Genomic DNA, 18379 nt, shown 5'->3' with positions numbered 1-18379 from the left:
CAGGTCACTCAGTGCAGGAGTACTGCACTGAGCAGTATTCCACTGCTCAGAATCACTCCAGAGGTCCTCACTGCCCAGAGAATCAGGTCAGCATTCATGCACCTGCCGTCCAAGGCCCTCCATTGCACAGCCAGATGCTTCTCCTCCAACATGGTTACCCTCTGCTCACATACTCAACAGCGTCTTTGGCTTCAGCCAAGCTGAGGCATGCCCACACTGCAAGCATTCAGGAAAGAAGCCAGTGCAGCCTCTCACTTCCTCTGCCGAGGGACTGCTGCTACCTTCCAATCAGGCCCTCCAGGCAGGGGCTTTGCTTGGAGGCCCTGAGCAGATTCCATCTTCCTCTGGGAACTTTCTCTGACTACCCAGCTCTGAACCATCCTTTCCTCTGCAGAATCATCAAAGCGTCTATTCCTGTAGCTCTGCCCCTTGGTATGGGGCCCACTTTCCCGAAGACGATTTGCTATGTCCTGCCCCGTGCCTCTGTAAATGCTGTTCCCCTGCAAGAAAGTCTTTCCCTTCCTCTCCTCTTTCCTCAAGACTGAGATCCTGGGAAGCGTTCTCTCCTCTCCCAGGAGGAGAGTGCCACTCCTTTCTAAGTGCCCCACTGAATTACCTGTAATTGCAGTTGTCCTGCTGAACAAGTGTTTACTGTCTCTTCGCTACAAGGTTGTAAATTTCATGAGAGCATGATTCATGACCAACGTCTTTACTTCCGTATCCTGCACTTTGCAAAGCACCATAAATATGGTAGATACCTGACAAACATCTACTGCATTGAATTCTTACCCTATCATCTTTTCCTGTCTTATCAAAGAATATAAATTACCGTGTTTGCTTATGAATAATCTCCAGTGAAGGTGTCAGTTAATTTTTTTTGGACTAGAAATAAAAGACCATGCCACAGATCTTCAGAAAGATCCTCCCATGAAAGGAGCTTTGAGGGCCCTTCCCACCCTTGCCTCCACCTTTCCTCTTTAACAGAGAAACACGTGAAATAGACATTTTTAAAAGCCACAAACCTTAGATTTGCTCCGATCAGAGAGGAACCGGGTGTGATGGGCGTCTCAGATCAGAGAGGAGCCGGGTGTGCTGGGCATCTGACTCATGCTCTGTGGCCTCCATCCAGTCCGTCCTCACAAAATGCACAGCGGGAAAGAAGGAATGGACTTAGTTTTCTTCTGGGGAGAAATACGCTTCAGTAGAAGCACTGGAGGGCTTGGAGGAAGGCTCAGTGTGCTGTGTCTGCTTCTGGGATGGTCCTGGGTTTGGTGCATGAGGTAGGCTAGGGTGCTGGCTAGGGTGGTGGGCTAGGGTGGTGGGCCAATGTGGTGGGCTAAGGTGGTGGGCTAGGGTGATGGGCTAGGGTGGTGGGCTGGTAAGAGCAGTGAGACGGTGCGTGGAAGGTCAAACCAGTGGAGTGCAGTGGGCAGTGAGCCTGCTAACTGAAAGGACACCTGTGGTGGGTCTTCTGAAGGCTTCTCCGCAACTCCACATAGGGGTTCATGCTCAAGACCGTGAGGTCAAATCATGGTGGTGCATCTGGAAGCTTCTAAGAGTCAAGGAGGGCAAAAGGTCATGGGCCACGTTCAATTCTCGCTGACCCCTCTTTGCACGGATGCAGGTGACCCCATCTCACCTGCCCCAGACAAACACTATAGCAAGGCTGCGCTGGCTACAGGACGGAAATGCTGGGTAAGCTAAAGACATGAAGGAGAACACTGACCCCATGGGCATCAGCTCACCCCTGACCTCAACAGGAGACGGGTGAGGCAAAGCTCCAACTCTCTTGTTTTTCATGAAGCTTAATGTTTTCCTTTTTTTTTTTAATTCCTCATTCTAGATCTCGGCCTCTGACTTATTTTGCTTTATATAATTCTTGTTTCAGCAGCTGCTTCTCAGAGTCCACACCCACCTGCAGCTGCGGCTCACTGCAGTATTTGAACAACTATGATACTCTCCCTCAAAGTACTCACTTTTGTATTAGAATGCAATCAGAAATTCCAGTTTTAGGCTGTTGGGCTTCCTTCTTCATTTTATTTTGTTAGTTTTTTGCATGCCCAGGCATGCATTAGAAATTTAATTTTGTCCTGAAGATGAAGATGAAGGTTACTGTCATTATTGCCACTCAGAAATATGCTCTAAAGATAGTAATTTTCGAATGGAATGGCATCCTCTGTGGGCAGCAGCCTGCTAGATGAGTCTGTGTCTGTTTCTGAAATATATGTTCTGACAGCCATTCTGTTCATTCTATCAAATTATCAACTTGTTAAATACCTTTTGTGATAATAGATTATAATGGTGACAGGAGCAACAATTCAGTGAACTTTGACTGATAAACGGATGATAATCACAATGATCAAAGAAATCATTTTCTCACCTGCAAAATTATTAAAGAGGCTACCCAGTGAAAACAAGCTGAGTTATGCTACTGACTTCAGCAAATGTGGTCTCTGTATGAAAGCCTCAAGGACCTTCTTTTCCAACCCTTGACATTTTAGTTTTGTTATAAGGACTTTGTTATATTAATAGCCGTTTTCGGAAAGAGAGAAACAATGTGTGAAGTAGATGTAAACAATATGTAGATAAGCAGAAAGTAGCCCTCCGACAATGACATTCGGGCGTCCCTCTCTTGAGCTATCTCCATCCTAGAGTGAGTCAAACAGCCCAGCCAGTGTGACCTGAATCTTGATGGTTTTTCTGCCCTTATATGGAATGTATCTTGAGGAAAAGCACAAAGAACCCACCAGCACAGACGATGTGCAAACTCTATAACTGGCTTAGAATTATGGGAACCTTAGGAACGTCTGTTTTCCCGTGCAAGTTGTCTAACTTGCAGAAACATTTGTAATTTGCCTACTGCCATATTAAAATCTAGATAAGGTCCCTCATTTACCAGAAGACTTCGTTGCTTTCTTATCTGCTTTTGAGACATCTTGTAATAAGAGTTGTGTTTTTTTTTTTTTTCCTTTTGGGTCTGTAGTGCTTTTTCAATCAATGTAGCTGACGCCAGATAATTTCAGCACAAGGGATATATCACACTGGCCCTGTATGAACATTGACCTAATTTAGTTAATCTTAGATTATTTACCCAGAATATCTCGTCTGTGAATATTTGAAAGTATATAACCATTGTAGTCCTTAGGGGAAAGAAGAAAAACAGAAAGCAAATGAGAGTCTCTCTGGCTTTATAAGGTGATGATGCAAATGAGGCTGTGTAATACATATACTAAATGAACAGACCATCGTACACATCCAAAGTCAGAGTGCTAGAGTTTCCAATGGGATGTTGATGGCTCTTTAACAGGATATGTGCTAATTTTTTAGTTTCTTCTTTGGCAATTTTTTTCAAAAACAGGTAGTTTGATTAAGGAATAAAGTATTTCTACTAGTTCCTTACTTAAATTTTAACAAGAATGATATTGCCCAAAGAGTTAATACCAAAATTAACCATCTCAATTAGTTTACCCACAAAACTTTGCTCATCCTTGGTATTGCACAACATTTTCTTTTTCCTCTAGTTAAATTTAATTTAGCTAAAAATAGAACAGTAAGTGGACAACATACTAATAATGAGCAACAGGACAGTTCCTTTTATGATAAAAACAAAATTTTAATTGTATTCAAAATTATCTATGAGACATTTCCATTATTGGCAAAGTAGACTTAACTTCACATTTCTGTTGCATTTTTAAAATTAATTATACAACTCTCAAGATAAATGCATAAAATTATAACGTGTGTGTATGAAGCCTGCATGCAGAATTTTTGTGTTGCAGTTATACTGAATTTATTGAAAACATGCTTGGAGCAATCTCTTTTCACTTGCTATCATCAAAAGGCAAAATATAATTTCTAATTTTTATAACTTCACTTCTAGAAATCTGTGGCTAATATGTGAAATATTTTTAAATACCTTCTTTAAAATAAAACGTTTGCAAATATGGTTTCTTGCAACTTCCGTGACCAAAGTATGACTTCACAGATTTTTGAAGCTGTGAGTCAATTATAGGAATAAAAAGGAATTCCACTCTTGATGAGTAGAAGCGTTTTCCCAGATGTAAATTCTTGTTCAAGCTTTCTGTTTGTTTGCTTTGTTTTGGGTTGTGGTGATGGTAGGTGGTCGCAGTGAGAGGTGTGTGTGGAAAAATTAAAGCAGAAAAGTTCCAAAATGCTGACCCGAGATTTGAAAGTAACAGGAAAGCGGGCTTTCGAACTGTGCAGACATCACACAGTCGCCTTAGTCCTGCACATCTCCTCATTATCAAACACTTGGAGCAAGAGTCTTCAGAAGTTACTGCAGAGTTCATGCAAGATTGCTGACTGAGCTCACAATACAGTAATTAGACGGAATTAAAGTTAAAATGGAAAGAAAATGAATCGAGAAGTAAAATACAAGGTGTAATATCCCCCCCCCCCCCACCCCCAACCTGCCCCATTGAAAGAAAAGGAGCTTTGAGAATAGATTGTGTTACAAAAGCAACTTCAGAACAGCTCTGAGCCGGCCTCCCGCGAGGCCACGTGCTCAGCCTTCTCCACCATTTTTGCTTTTCCTTTGACATTTCTGAAGGATCTGTGAGAAGGTCTCACACTGCCCAGCAGGAAGATAACACACAAATAGCCATGTAGGTAATTGCAAAGTTCCTAAGAGCTACATTTTTAGAAAGCAAAAAGAAGGTGAAATTTCAATAATATATTTTACTTAACCTAAGGTATCTAAAATATAATCATTTCAACCTGTGATCAATATTTTAAGTGATGACTGAGGAGTTTCACATGCTTTTGAGTACTGCATCTGGAAAATCTCGTGTGTGTTTTACACTGAGCAGCACGCCTCACCACAGAGGGGCCCTGCTCTCCCTGCTCAGTAGCCACTGGGGGCCAGTGGCCACCACCCCGGACAACACAAGTCCAAGGGCAGCCGAGGAAAATGCACTGAGAAAAGCCTGAACCTGGATGCTGAAAACAAACAGCGAGAACCCAGAGCACCTCAGCAGCCTCAGGCAGGAGCCTGCTCCGAAGGTGCAGGAGAAAAGGAACTGTTGACTTTGAGAAATAAAATGTCCTCATTCTCCATTTTCTGCTATAGTTGTTGAATTTCTATAAGGAGATTATAGTCAATAAGGAAATTATGTCCCTAAGCTAGTAACCTTCCAGCTATGTGACTTTCCCTCCCATGAGAAGTCCTGCCACCAAGAGCCACCTTGGTGTTCAGCCAGCCTTCGACACTGTGGAGATGCAAGGGGATTGCAGTGCGTGTGTGTGTGTGTGTGTGTGTGCAAGTGTGCAACTGTGTCATATGTAAGAGTGAATGCCTGTGAGTCTGTTGCATCTGTGAATCGTGTGAATCTGTGAATCGCATGTAAGAATGAGTGTGTGACTTGGATGTGTATGTGGGAGATTGATTCTGGGAATTTGTGTGAGAATTTGTGTGAGTGTGTAGGAATGTGTGTGACACGTGTGCAAGAGAATGCATGTGTGAGAAGGGGAGGAAGGCCAGAACAAGCCAACCGTCACTGGCTCCGGCGCTGGCCAGAACCACTGGGCACCCTGGAGGGTTCTTTGTGCAGGAAAGAGGTCCAACCTGTGCCCAGAGCTTCTGTGGACCATCAGCTTCACCCCCCAATGATGACCTCTGCATCCCCTCAACAGACAGATTTTGAAACCCACAATTAGCCAGGCACTGTCCCCTTGCCCCTGGGGAGACATCAGTGACCCGGACTGGCCATCAGTGACCCAGGCTGGCAAAAACTCCCTCTCTATGCAACTTCCTGGGATTCCCCTCCCACAGCCACATCTCCAAAAAGCCGGCCTCTAGCTTGGAGCCCTGTCCCTAGCCTTTGGCAGCCTTGTCTGCAGGTGGGGTGGCAGGAGCTGGGGCCAGAGGATGGGGGCAAGGCTGCCCAGGCCCAGCCAGGGGCTGGCACACATGAAGAACCTCCTGCTGGGTGTGATCTGTGACTTTCCAGAGCCTTCAGGCCACATCATACAATGCTCTAGGAAGGAAACAAAATGGTGTCCCAGTTCAAAATTATCCACATTTACCAAGAGTCCCCCGCTTACCCCGCCCACCCCGTAGCTTTTTCCTGGGTCTAGATGGCGCCACTTTCAATCCCGCCCCCCACCAAAAATGACACACCCAATAAATAGATTTCCTCCATGTATTTCCCTGTTGTTGTGTTTACAAAAACATTGTTGGTTGCACTACCCCTTCACATCCTACCCCCTCCTTTTGTCAGAAGGAGGGCAGGCATTTCGGGGGCCTGGGCGCTCAAGGAAGGCCTCGCGGGTGCAGGAGAGGCCTTGGGGTGTGCAGGGGAGAACCTGCCCCTCTGCCGTCTTCGACCTTAAAGTTTAGTCCTCGGCTCTGGTCTGGTGGCTTTCTCTTGCCTTCTCCTAGGAAGTTTTCCCAGCCTCAGATGCGGCAGAGAGGGGACAGCAGCTTGGAGTCCTGTGAGGAGGTGGAAGGACACGTTAGTGGAGATCCTGGGCCTGAGGAGAACTAGCATTGCTCAGGGGAGGAAAATTGCCTCTGCTGGCGCCTGCGGCCTCCCACGAATCTGAGAAACACTACTCCACCCGCCTCTGCGTCCCTCAGGCCCTAACGGTGGTTTGCGCTCCTGGGTTCTAGCGCCCTTGGGTCTCGCTCGCTGGTGCCCGCCCTGCACCCGGGGCATCAGGAGCACCCCTCCCCACCATTCAGATTCTAGAGGAACGAGACCACTTGGGCAGGTGCGGGTAGGGGACCGGGCGTGGAAAGCGGGAGTGCAAGCAGGTCCTCAAGTCACTGAGACTCTCCTCACCTTGGGGTGGGGACTGGAAGTTTGTGAGCTGCTTGCAATCCTGCAGTTTGAGGAGCGTGGCCTGATGTTTTAACTGTTTTGCTTTAGGGCGCGCAGCCTCTCTGACATGCATTGTTGTGAGTTCACCCTAAAGGGTATGACTTCAGAAACGATCACTGCCGCGATCATTAAAACAGAAGATGATGTCTATGAAATTCACTCGACTTGGTATCTGGGCCTCTTTCAGTGAATTTAAACTCGCAACATTAAAGCAACTCTTGGGAGAAAACGGGAATATGTCCAAATCTCAGGTCATTCAAGTCAGACATCCGCGCTCAGAACCCCAAGGAAGGCTTTTAAAGTTGCGGAATGCACCAGAAGGAGAGCAGGGATCCCCCGAGGCCCCACTTGCGAAAGACCCCCCTCCCTGGGCCCCTCCTCCTCTTCCTACCCCTACCAACGTTGGAGGGGGTCTGGACTTTGAAACTTGTCACGGGGAAAAGAACCTTCGCCGAGAAGGCTGCTAATGAATTCAGACTGCATAGTTCTCAAAATCTGATGTTTTGCAATGATGACATTAGCGTGGCGGCCGAGGGTCCGAGCCCAGAAAGTCTGCGCAGCTGCTCGGCGCTTTGAGCGCCCGGGACAATGGGCGCAGTGTTCGGCCTCGGCCTCTCCAGGCCATTTGCATACCCCGTTCTGCCTGAGTGACCGGCGGAGCTGCGGCAGGGAGCAGCATTGTCCACGGGTCACTTCAAGATGAGCGAGATGACAAGAGCCAGGTGAGCGATGGGGCGGGACATTCCCCAGGTCACGAGAAGAAAACGCGGGGAGAGCCTTGGCCAGAGCTTGGGTTTGTTGATTCTCGAGGTGGGATTTGCTCGTTTGCTCTTAAAGCACTCATCAGATGTTGTAGGGGGAAATTCGAGATTTAAAGATTTTTAACAAGAATTTACAAAGCCTCATTTTGGGAGTAATTTGGGGTCTTCCTTTTTCTGAAAAATCCAGTGATCTTATGGCATTTTATTTCATTGTATTCTTTCACTCTTCGAAGTTTAAGAGTTCCACCGCCAAAGGGAAGCAGTTTCATTCTCTATAGCCAAAAGCTGTCACCAGTTGAGTCTGAATTTGTTATTTTCCAGAAACACCATTTTGAAAAGTTGCAACTGAGGCCCCTTGGCCGGCAAATCTGAGCTGCAGAAGCGCCTGAATTCCGGACGTTAAACCTCCAATCACCAGCCAGGGCAGCTCCGGCTGGGACAGCGCGGGCGCGCGGCCCCTCCACCGCCGCCAAACGGAGCGCGCTTGACGCCCCCGTTTTGACTTCAGCTCAGAAAGACAAGTCTTTGTAATGCAAGTTCCTCTTCCCTAGAGAGTTGACGCACCACCTGCCACCATCTCTACCCCTAGCCCTGGAGCGGCCTGCAGAACTGGGACTCTTCTCTTGTGGATTTCAATCGTGGGGCGTGTAACTGTTGCCAATAATTTTCAGAGACCTGGATCCTTAAGGAGGGGATCCTGGGGGAGGGACCTGAGGTGGGAACGGGTGGGTGGGACGAAGGACGAAGCCAGAAAAACCGAGACAACAGGAGGGAGGCAAGGGACCGAGGGCAACGTTTCTCCCAAGTGAAACACGCTGCATTCCGGCACCGACGGCTCCTCCGGCGCCTGGGCCCCCCCAGGCCCCGCCGCGATGCACCCAGGGCCTCCCGAGGCCGCGCTCCACCCAGGCTGCTCCGGGTCCGCAGCCCCACAGGCCCTCCTCCCCTCACCCCTCCTCCTCCCTCCGCCTCCCGCACCCGCGCACCACCCACTCGAGCGAAAAGCAAGTCAAGCAAATCCTGGGGAAGGCGCCCCACAGCCCTCTCCCGCGGGCACCAACACCTGGGCACACCGCGTCTCAGGCGGTAGCGGAGCTGGCCCACACCGGCCCCGCCAGCGCCCGGGAGGCGTCTCCAGGTCCCTACCCGCGTTCGCTGCGGATTGCAGCGACGCTCATCTCGGGAATATAACGATTAATCCAACCGCAGGTTTCCAGATAAGTGATTGTGATGGAGACTGTTGGCGAGAAAATAGACAATTATCCGCTGTTAGCTTTACATAAAGATCGCATTAACTCAAATTAGTTATCAGACAAAAGAGCGTCGGCGCGCGCGCCCTGCCTGCCCCGCGCCCTGCCCGCGGGGACCCCCGGGCACAACCAGGCCCAGGGCACGGCAGGCAGGGCCGAGGCCTCGGCAGGGCGCGAGGAGAGGGGGCATGCACTAGGGGGCTCCGAGCTCTGGCCCCCGCGGGGACTGCGTGTTGCGCCCTCCTAGACGCAGCGCGGGGCTCCAGACGGGGACAGGGTGGCTGCCCGAGCGCTCCCCGCCCCCCAGCGCTCCCCTCCGCTGCGCTCCGGCTCCCCGCTGCTGCGCCCCTCCCGCCCTCGCGTCCCGCTGCCGCAGTCCCTCTTCCCCCGCGCGCTCCGCGAGGCGCTACCCTTTTCTTTCTGGCGCCCGCAGCACCAAGTTGCTGGTCCCTGAGCACGAGGAGACGAAGTTAATGACTCCGGGAGGGAACTGCCCCTCGACCCCAAACTCGCAGCGAAAGCGTCCTCGGCCATGCGAACACTCTTAGACTACCGTCCTGTGCCCCGCCGTCCCCACTCCACGCGTGCGGTCACTGTCCCTCCCGGGGTCGCTCCCTGCGGGGCCGCGCTGCCACTCGGACAGGAGAGGGGACCAATGGGAAAGGTGGGCTGGGGAGAAAGGGCGCAGAGCGACCCTGGAGCTGGGTGTCCATGGCCTGGGGGCACCGGCTGAAACGTGGCCGTACAGCCTGGACGCCGACAGAAGTTGCGCACTGCCCACGCGCCGCGTGGCCTACTGGCGTGCTCTTTCTCCCGTGTCCCCACTAGGGTTGACACCGGCCCGCCGGAACACAGATTTGTGCAAACGCACAGCCCAGCGCCCTGAGCCCCGGCCTGGCCGCAGCGCCCAGCGGGGTTCCCCCCTGTCGCCGGCGCGCGCTGGCGGCGGTGCTCCCGCCCGGGCTGGCCTCGCTCGGCCCCCAGGGTCCCCGGGCCCCGCTGAATAGGGCGGATAATGACCCCCGGTTCCCAAGGCAGGCTTTCTGCGGCCTGGTGAGCCTTGGACTTGTGTGGTCTAAGCCTTTCCCAGCTTGTCCCATTCTGTCACCGGGATAAGGGGCTCCCTCGGCTCGTTTGCACCTGCGTCGCTTTTGGCTCCTTCAGGAATGCGCTGAAGCTTGTAATCAGCTTTGTGAAGCCATTGAGTGCACGGCTGAGTGAAACTTCCAAAGCTCGAGGAAAACGGGCCGGCTGAATGGGAGCCAGCATGGGGCTTCTCTCCAAGCCTCCGCGCTGCCAAATTCCAGCAGAGCCCCTCACAATCGCTCCGCGCGGGCTTGACTGCTTTCCCCACACTGAGAAAAGTGAGAAAAGAAAAGCGAAAATACCAGTCACCGAGGTTAGCCGCTTGTTCCCAGATTAATGGCAAACGGCCCCCTCCTCCTCCCCGCGCCCCCGCCCCCGCCCCCCTCCTGCATAGCGTACGGATTCAGGAAACACGGCAGAGGGGAGGGGAGGACAGTTATTCATAACTCCCCATCTGATTTCATATTTTCTGTCCCCTGCCCAGGGCGGGGTCTTCGAGCCAAGCGCGCGGTCCCCCCGCCTGCAGGTGCTGAGCTGGGCTGCCGCGGGCCCGTGGCCTGGGGAGGTCTAAGCAGGCTTGGCTGCACGCCTCGCTCCAGTAGAGGAGTCAGATGAAGCCAAACCTAAGATTTCCCAAAACTAGCCCTGCAAAGCCTTCACAGTACTCCTAACAGGAAACAAAAACAACAAACCAGCCCTGGGCCTCCAGTGACCTCCATCCCCACATCCACTCAGCAGGGCTGGCGCCTGGAAACAGGCACTTCTGGATTTCAGGGGCTTGGGAAGGAGGAGGTACAGGGAAGGGAGGACTTCTCTGACACCCAGGGTGTGTGTGTGTGTGTGTCCTCTTGCAGATAGTTAGGAGTAGAGGTGCCTGCAGCTGGGAGTACCCCCCACCCCACCCCGTTGCACGCCTCCCTGTCTGGTTCCGGAAGACAGGCGTTCTTCCAGAGGTTCTTACCAAGGGTCTAGCCCTTCAGACCAGTGCCTCCCAGGGCTGCCTCCCAGGCCTTGGGTCCCTCCCTCCCAATCAAGGTAAATGAGGGTTCCAGGCTGGCTTTCTTTCCAAAAAAGGAGATTCTTGGCAGCCAGTAGAAAAGCAACCAGCTTGCAGAAGGCAAGCAGGTGGGCAACAACATCGGGGCGGCTTTCTCCCCGTGGCCAGCTCCTCCAGGGCAGGGCTCCTTCCTCCTGCTGTTTCACCCCATGGTCCTGCAACAGTGCATGGCAGTGTGTGCAGAGGAGATGCTCAATACCTATTCATCAAGTGAATGCTGTCCAGTTTTACCTCTCAAAATTCAAGGCCTGCAAGCAGGTCTTCTGGAAGGGAAATATGGCAGCTTTTCTCTGGATGGCTCATAGGGCCCTCTCATCAGTGAACCCGCATAGGCATTACTTGTGGGAAAGAAAGTGAAGACAACATTATGATCTACGTGTAAAACTCTTTTTACAATCGCTGTGCATTTCTTTTGCTAATTAATTCTTGCCACCATGAATTGGACTCCTTTCCTTTTCTGCAAGCACAAATATTAAGCACAAGTTTTAATATGTGAGCTAGATTTCCATTCCTTCTAGTAAACACACGTTCAGGCCTGCCAGGTTTTCTTTCTCCTGCTGTAGAACCTTGCTTTTGTAGGGGCACCACAATGTCTGACTGCTGCTCTGTGCTATAAATAGTCCCCTGGTGGATCGAAAGGTTTAATGGGCCTCTTTAAATACCTAACTTATTATAAAGCCCTGGGAGAATCACATTAACAGGCAGAGAAGAGCAAGAAGAGAGCTCCCCCTGTAGATGCCCTATTACAGCATTCTTGGAGATCCGGAACAGGCAGGACTTTTCCTATTTATGTACATTAATGTGCATGAGAAGCTGCAGCACGCTGGCGCCGGGAGGGGCTGTGGTGGTGAAGGGGTGCACCTAAGCTAGGAGGAGGTGACACTTAAAGAGGTCAAGTGATTTGCGCAGAATTACCCAGAGGCATCGCGACTGTTATCAGTAATAATGAGAAGTCAGAAAAATCAGTGGGTGCTTTGTCCTGTGTTTAAACACATCAGATAGTCCCGTTTAAGAGCAAGGAACACCCCCACCCCCAGCCAGTTCTGAATCCCCAAAGGTGGCACAATGGCAGAATTGGTGAATCTCAAAGAAAAGTTGAATCTCTCTCTATGCCAAGACTTTGTGCATCCATTCGTCGACGCTGAAATGCTTTAAACACTCCAAATTCATACCGCCCATTTTGACAGTTAAAGTTTGCTTTTTATGATAAAGTTTTACATGTTGTTTTCAGCAATGTTTCTCCTTCCAACCACTCTCAGTAACAAGTCAGGAGGATATGCAGTAATTCAGAAATTAGTGAAATTTCATTCCTGGTGGGGGTGTTGGATTAAGAGGCTGGGAGAGTGTGAAGCAAGTCAACGTGTAATTGCATGATAAGGCTCTCACGAGGAATTTATTGGCCAAGTTGCTATTTCTATTCCTTCCTAATCTCGTTTAGCACATTCACTCTCTGCAATCTGTCTCCATAATCTTCTGTAGCAGAATGGCAGCCAACAGAAGCATGCATGTTTGGAGAGAAGAGAAAATATGCAGAGGCGTGATAAACTGATGCTAATTATCCATATTTAGGACACGGAGTGCAGAAGATCAAGGTTTACAAATCACAAGCCCGAGCCCGTGATGATGGCTTCCGCGTGTGGAATACATTGGAGGAGACCAGATAAGGGTTTCATGGGCAGGAGAGATTTATTGGTCAAAGGGTTCACCTTCCACTTTTCCACTTTTATATAGCAGTAAATTATTTAGGTTAAATTCACCAGAACATTACTCTTTCATCTGGCGACGTGCCATGGCTTGCTCTTTCTTTGTGTCTTTTCAATGCAAATCCTTGTAGTTTAACATCAGTTGATAAGAAACAAATAATTGAAGTAATAGGTAATTCCCTTTAAATCGTGCATATAGGATGGTCCCAGAAAGAATGAGATGAGGTAGAGAGCAGAGGGCTGAAAGTGAAGAAATATCAACCTCAACTCTTAAATGGCATAGCTGTCAGGAAACAAAATTTAGATATTCACTGCATGTATGTGTGCACATGTCTCTGTAAGCTCCACAGCCAGCATGCTTGTGGTAAGAATAGGTGTTCTAGTGTAGCACTAATATGGATGATTTTCCTTTCTGGAACCCCGACCATTTAAAATTTAAAGAAATCTAGGCCGGGCACCGTGGCTCATGTCTGTAATCCCAGCACTTTGGGAGGCCGAGGTAGGCAGATCACGAGGTCAGGAGATCGAGACCATCCTGGCTAACACAATGAAACCTGTCTCTACTAAAAATACAAAAAATTAGCTGGGCATGGTGGCAGGCACCTGTAGTCCCAGCTACTCGGAAGGCTGAGGCAGGAGAATGGCATGAACCCAGGAGGCGGAGCTTGCAGTGAGCCGAGATCGCGCCACTGCATTCCAGCCTGGGCGACAGAGGAGACTCCGTCCCCCCACCAAAAAAAAAAAAAAAAAAACACTAAACATAGTTTCTCTTCCCTCCACTATTCCCACATCACCTCCAACTGACTTAATATTTACAATTGCCTCTCAATGCTCTCCAAGACTTCTGGCTCTGAGAAAAGACATAGAAAGAATTCAGACCAGAAATATCTTGTGGCGTGGCTGGGAGGTCAGTGGTACAGACTTTTCTGCATTACAGAAATTGCCTTCTAAACTTCCCAGAGAACAAGCACAAATGTAGCACAGGATTTGGTTGCAAGTGGGCATGCTTATTTAAAAATTTATAAGATTAGCTAAACCCCATTCAATGGTACTAACTTTGATTTTTTTTTTTTTTTTTTTTTGAGGAGTTGAGGGAACTCATTTTTAGCTTTGGTACCGAATGGGAAACTGGTCTCCTAGAGTTTTCATTTGTAGATTTTTTTTAGTTGATGGGAGCGGGGGACAAAGCAACAGAAATTCTCTGTCGAATACACACTGCAAACTAGCATGAACCACTCATTATAAGGACAAGAGGTTTTTAGAATAAAAATAGTTATGCAAAAGTTTGGGGTTATAATTTATAATCCCTACATAAAGAAATATTAGGGAAGAATAGCTGATATTTGACACAAACAATTTTTTTTACCCCTGAGACCATCGGGACAAGAAATTATCTGTAGGCTACTTCTACACACACACACTTTTTCTATTTCAACAAGCCTAAGATGCCATTTATAAGATGCATCTTTATTTTACATGCTGCTATGAAAGAAAAAACTCTGCCAATTGTAATTCTAAGTTGCCGCTGATGGTAATGGTGCATTTAGATTCCAGAGATGATAAAAATATTTAAAATGAGTGTCTTAGAACCAAAGAAATACAATATGCATTGTTGAGTTCATTGAATAATGAGTTTGTAACATTTTATCCAGAATATTTTCAAAATTATCCATTGTTCCATAGAAATTAACTTTGTTGTAAATTAATAAATGTGTCAATAATCATATGTGAGTAACACATGCAACACGACTCTATAGATATGCAGAGTTTAGAAATGCAGAATTGAAACATTTATCCATTCCAGCCACCTCACCCAAAGGAGAAAGAAAAGTTAAAAACATAAATATTCTCTCATCAGTAATAATCTAGCAATTGAGGCAAAAGATGTGGATTGCTGGTTTTTTTCCAGAAATTATCTAAATTAGAGAAAGAACTCCAATTGTTCACTTTATTTGATACACATATGCATATTTGGTGCCTGCCAAAGTAAAGTGAACAATTTAGGCTGGTTGGTTTGGTTTTGGTTTTGGCACTGCAGATTGGATATGGTTAATTTGAATAATTTGGTTCCAAGAATCAGCTTCTCCCCCTAAATGACAGATTTTTCTCTACATGATCTAAACTGTGCCTAAACTCTTTACCTGTAGATGCTCTCATATTCACCTTCAAATACCTCTCCCTCCCCACACTGAGGACCCTATCAATCTAAGAAAACCAACCATAATTTTGAAAATAGGATTACGTTCAGAGAGAGATCAGCAATTTTCAAGGAACCAGTTAAATCTAATTTAATTAAATTTTAAAATGAAGCTAAAAATTTTTAAATTAAGTCTAATGGAAAATTTTTAACTTCAATTTAAAATTAAATTTCATGTTTCCTTGTAAGTTAGCTTGTGTTCAGACAGGCAGACACGGAGACTAATTTTTACTGCAATAGAAGTAGGCCTTGGCTGCACGTGGAAAGCACGAGGGGGAAAGGTACCCGCCAGCAGACCCAGGAGTTCTAAACATGCCCCACAGAGGCTGCACGTGCCTGTGCAGGTGTGCGTGTGTGTTTCTGTGTGCTCACACTTGCCCATGCCTCATGAGTGGCATCTGAATCCTAGCAAGCTGCAGCAGGCAGCACTCGTGGCACCTGCCAGAGTTAAGCACTGACCAAGCCCTGGTGCAGGAGAGAGCAGGGAGATGTAGAGAGGCCAGGGAGAGGAGCAAGGGAAGTGGAGAGAAGTACGACTGTGAGTTAACGTCTTTCTGGAAACCAGCTTTGCTCTTCCTTACGGTTCATGATGCCAAGCATGTGCGAATGTGAGCCGCGTGCTCAACTCTGCCTGCGGGTCTTTTTCTCACTGAAGGGAATGGTCAGCTGGGCCTGTGTCTGTTCTTTGTTCTTACCCTCCTCTTGGAACCTCTCCCCCAACCCTAGATGAATTAATCCACAAATGTCTACTCAGTGCATGCAAACTGCAGTAAGCATCTCGTTCATAAATACCTAGTTTCCACTGAATTTTCAAACCATGCAGAAGATGGTTCTGTGTGTTCGTCTTCCTGGATCACGCTCCTGGGCCACTTGAGTGGAGGCATTTTCACCTCTTCAAAACAATGTCTCAGGTCGTGGTTTCTTAACTGTGGGCAGTGTATACTGAGGTATCTGAAATAAACACAAAATTCCACTCATCATTCGCCTGTGCACTGGTTAGCAAGATGATTACAAGATACTCTAAATGTGCTCGGCGTGTTGAAACACACTTTCAGCTCCAATGACTTCAAATAGCTTATAAGTAAAACAAATAAACAGAATAATGGTGGGATTTATTTGGATTTATTCATTACGAGACTAACCAAGGCATGACATTTTCAGGCATGTCTTAATTTTTACAGGAGCAGGAAGGGCTTTCCTATCTTGATGTGTTCATCCCCCAAGCCTCAGGCAGTTATCTCTCTGGCCTGTCCCACGGCTTGAGGAGCCGACAGGGCACTGTGAGGGCTTTCGCAGCTCATGCATGGCTTGCCCCAGCTTCTACACATTAAAAGTGAAATAAATACCCAGGCCGACTCGCCTAGATTATGATCTGTGAGTTGATGTGTTAAATGAGCCCGTCGCCTTAAAGGTTATAAATGACAAGATTTTTACTATTACAAGTAATTTATAGCGATTTCCTGTTTGACGTGACAGATCCTCATGGAGAAGTCCAAATTCGTCTGCTTGACATACATTTATTTTAACACTTTACCCTTCTCCAAATTCTAGCATGTATTAACTACTGTTTGCCTAGGTGTCAATTTGTACCTGTGGGGTCTCCCTCTTGAGGCCTCAGTGGGGTCCCCTGGCCTCTATTCCAGCTGGCTGCCTGCATTTTAGCAGCTAATGTGGGTGATTACTGGCATATTTACTGTAATTTATAAAAATCACAGGAAATGACATTTTTATTAGTCACTGACTCCACCGTCACCAACTGCAATGGATGTTATGCATACAAATCCATTTTACAAAATTGTTCTTCCAAAATCAGAAGCTCTTTCCAGTCTCTAATTCTGTGGAATGATCACATTTCACTTTCACTTACCATGAACGGGATCGCGGCTGAGCTCAGAACTCAGCTTATTTCTCAGGCCTTGGAACTGTCTGTGTGGGGACTAGAATAGGGTCAGGGAAATGCTCTCAAAGACAGAGAATGATCCGGAAACATCCTGGCCTCAGTCTGAGAGTGAGCACGGCACCCACGCTTGCTATTGTCTTTACCGTTATGTGTGCCAGGATTTGTGGGACCCGTGCACACTGACACACTCCAGGGCCGTGGGCAGAGGTGGCTCCACGCAGGTCAGGTGCGGCTCGGAGAACCTAGTAGAACCCTGTTCTGCCAGTCCCTTGCTGCATGGCTCCAGGAGGCCTTGCTTCTCTGAGAAGGTTGGCAGTGGATTGAGTCTTAAAGGATGAGTAGGAATTTTCTGCTTGAGGGCAGAGAAGGCAGGGAATGTACTATGAGCAAAAATGCATGGAGTTGTAGGAGAAGATGTTGGGGTTGGGAAATTGCAAGATTTTTTGATATTGCTGGGGAGTAGGGTGCCTATGAAGGAACAGAGAAAATAAGACCAGAACCTTATTTTCCAGGAATCATATCGTAAGCCATGTGAATGCCATGCTAAAGAGTTTAGACGTCATCCTACAGACAGTGAGAAACCATGACAGATGCTAAATGGTTTTGTGTACATTGAGTATAGCTTGCTTGGAGTTACATACCAAGGGAGGAGAGACTTCAAGGAGGAAGAACTATCACTTATCTCAAAGGCCATAGGAAGTCCAGTTGGTGGAAGTTCCCAGCATGTTCATTGTGTGGGGAGAAGTAAAAGGCCTTTGTGAGCCCTCACAGGATGACTCCGGGGGGAGTGGAGGGGCAGGACCGGAAAGGAGGAGGGGCTCAGAGAACACAGCTCTGCAAGGAGCTCAGCTCAGAGTGGGGAGTGAGGGCAGCTACAGTGCTGTGGGGGCTGCAGCAGTGCAGAGAGGAGGCCAATGGCAGGAGGCACTGAGGATCCCAGAGAATGGACAACTGTGACCACAGTGTTTAATAAGAACACAGTGTGCACCAGGAGCCCAGCTGTCTGCACCTTCACAACCTCATCTAATCTTCATAGGAGCCCTGTCTCCTTTTCCTAATTGTAAATCACATAGTAAGTGTCAGCCTTGGGTTTGACCCAAGGAGTGTGACTCCACAGCTGGGCTTTCACCATGGAGCTGTGGGGCACTATTGAGGGTAACGTGGGACCAGGAGGAGTGCCTTCAGACCAAACTCGAGGGAGAACCTTTCCCTGGACAGAGGAAGGGGAGGGAGGAGGAAGGGGGCTGCTGCCTGTTAAGTTTCTGACGGTTGCTGACACATACCAGGCATGAGACACTTTAAATCTGTTATTGGCTGGGCGCGGTGGCTCACACCTGTAATCCCAGCAAATTGGGAGGCCAAGGCAGGTGGATCACGAGGTCAGGAGTTTGAGACCAGCCTGGCCAACATGGTGAAACCCCATTTCTACTAAAGATACAAAAAATTAGCTGGGTGTGGTGGCGCATGCCTGTAAACCCAGCTACTCAGGAGGCTGAGGCAGGAGAATAGCTTGAACCCAGGAAGCAGAGGTTGCAGTGAGCTGAGATCACGCTGTTGTACTCCAGCCTGGGCAACAGGGTGAG

The 18379-nt window shown here is 48.3% G+C and overlaps 2 long non-coding RNA genes across 3 annotated transcripts in view, besides 4 other annotated features; one reads left to right on the top strand and one right to left on the bottom strand.

Moving 5' to 3' along the window:
- Window positions 952–2151: an enhancer, noted in NCBI's record as "BRD4-independent group 4 enhancer chr13:112766326-112767525 (GRCh37/hg19 assembly coordinates)". NCBI's record gives its function as "activates an origin of replication core promoter dependent on BRD2, P300/CBP, MED14 and CDK7 cofactors, and independent of BRD4, by STARR-seq in HCT116 cells {active_cell/tissue: HCT116}" and the evidence as "EXISTENCE:reporter gene assay evidence [ECO:0000049][PMID:35650434]".
- Window positions 6146–6764: an enhancer, noted in NCBI's record as "H3K4me1 hESC enhancer chr13:112761713-112762331 (GRCh37/hg19 assembly coordinates)". NCBI's record gives its function as "activates a minimal SCP1, AML or CMV promoter by ChIP-STARR-seq in primed H9 embryonic stem cells {active_cell/tissue: H9 hESC(primed)}" and the evidence as "EXISTENCE:reporter gene assay evidence [ECO:0000049][PMID:30033119]".
- The window catches only part of SOX1-OT (SOX1 overlapping transcript), a 135706-nt gene continuing 123474 nt past the window's right edge, over window positions 6148–18379 (bottom strand). Inside the window, exons 3-4 of one of the 2 annotated variants that reach the window (NR_120392.1) lie at window positions 15689–15847; window positions 6148–6451 (exon numbers count right to left, since the gene is read on the bottom strand). This is a non-coding gene — a long non-coding RNA (SOX1 overlapping transcript). Of the gene's footprint in view, window positions 6452–6803; window positions 7045–15688; window positions 15848–18379 lie in introns of those variants that run through there. The other variant, NR_120394.1, reaches the window with a different exon arrangement.
- Window positions 7385–8004: an enhancer, noted in NCBI's record as "NANOG-H3K27ac-H3K4me1 hESC enhancer chr13:112760473-112761092 (GRCh37/hg19 assembly coordinates)". NCBI's record gives its function as "activates a minimal SCP1, AML or CMV promoter by ChIP-STARR-seq in naive H9 embryonic stem cells {active_cell/tissue: H9 hESC(naive)}" and the evidence as "EXISTENCE:reporter gene assay evidence [ECO:0000049][PMID:30033119]".
- On the top strand, window positions 7534–8068 carry LINC00404 (long intergenic non-protein coding RNA 404). The gene is made up of 2 exons (NR_047014.1): window positions 7534–7564; window positions 7925–8068. It is a non-coding gene; the product is annotated as a long intergenic non-protein coding RNA 404 (long non-coding RNA).
- Window positions 9866–10485: an enhancer, noted in NCBI's record as "NANOG-H3K27ac-H3K4me1 hESC enhancer chr13:112757992-112758611 (GRCh37/hg19 assembly coordinates)". NCBI's record gives its function as "activates a minimal SCP1, AML or CMV promoter by ChIP-STARR-seq in primed H9 embryonic stem cells {active_cell/tissue: H9 hESC(primed)}" and the evidence as "EXISTENCE:reporter gene assay evidence [ECO:0000049][PMID:30033119]".

This window comes from Homo sapiens, chromosome 13 (assembly GCF_000001405.40).
Source record: "Homo sapiens chromosome 13, GRCh38.p14 Primary Assembly".
In the NCBI taxonomy this organism is placed as follows: Eukaryota; Metazoa; Chordata; class Mammalia; order Primates; family Hominidae; genus Homo; species Homo sapiens.
The sequence above is the reverse complement of the archived record's forward strand: the minus strand, read 5'-3'. Positions and strand labels throughout refer to the sequence as shown.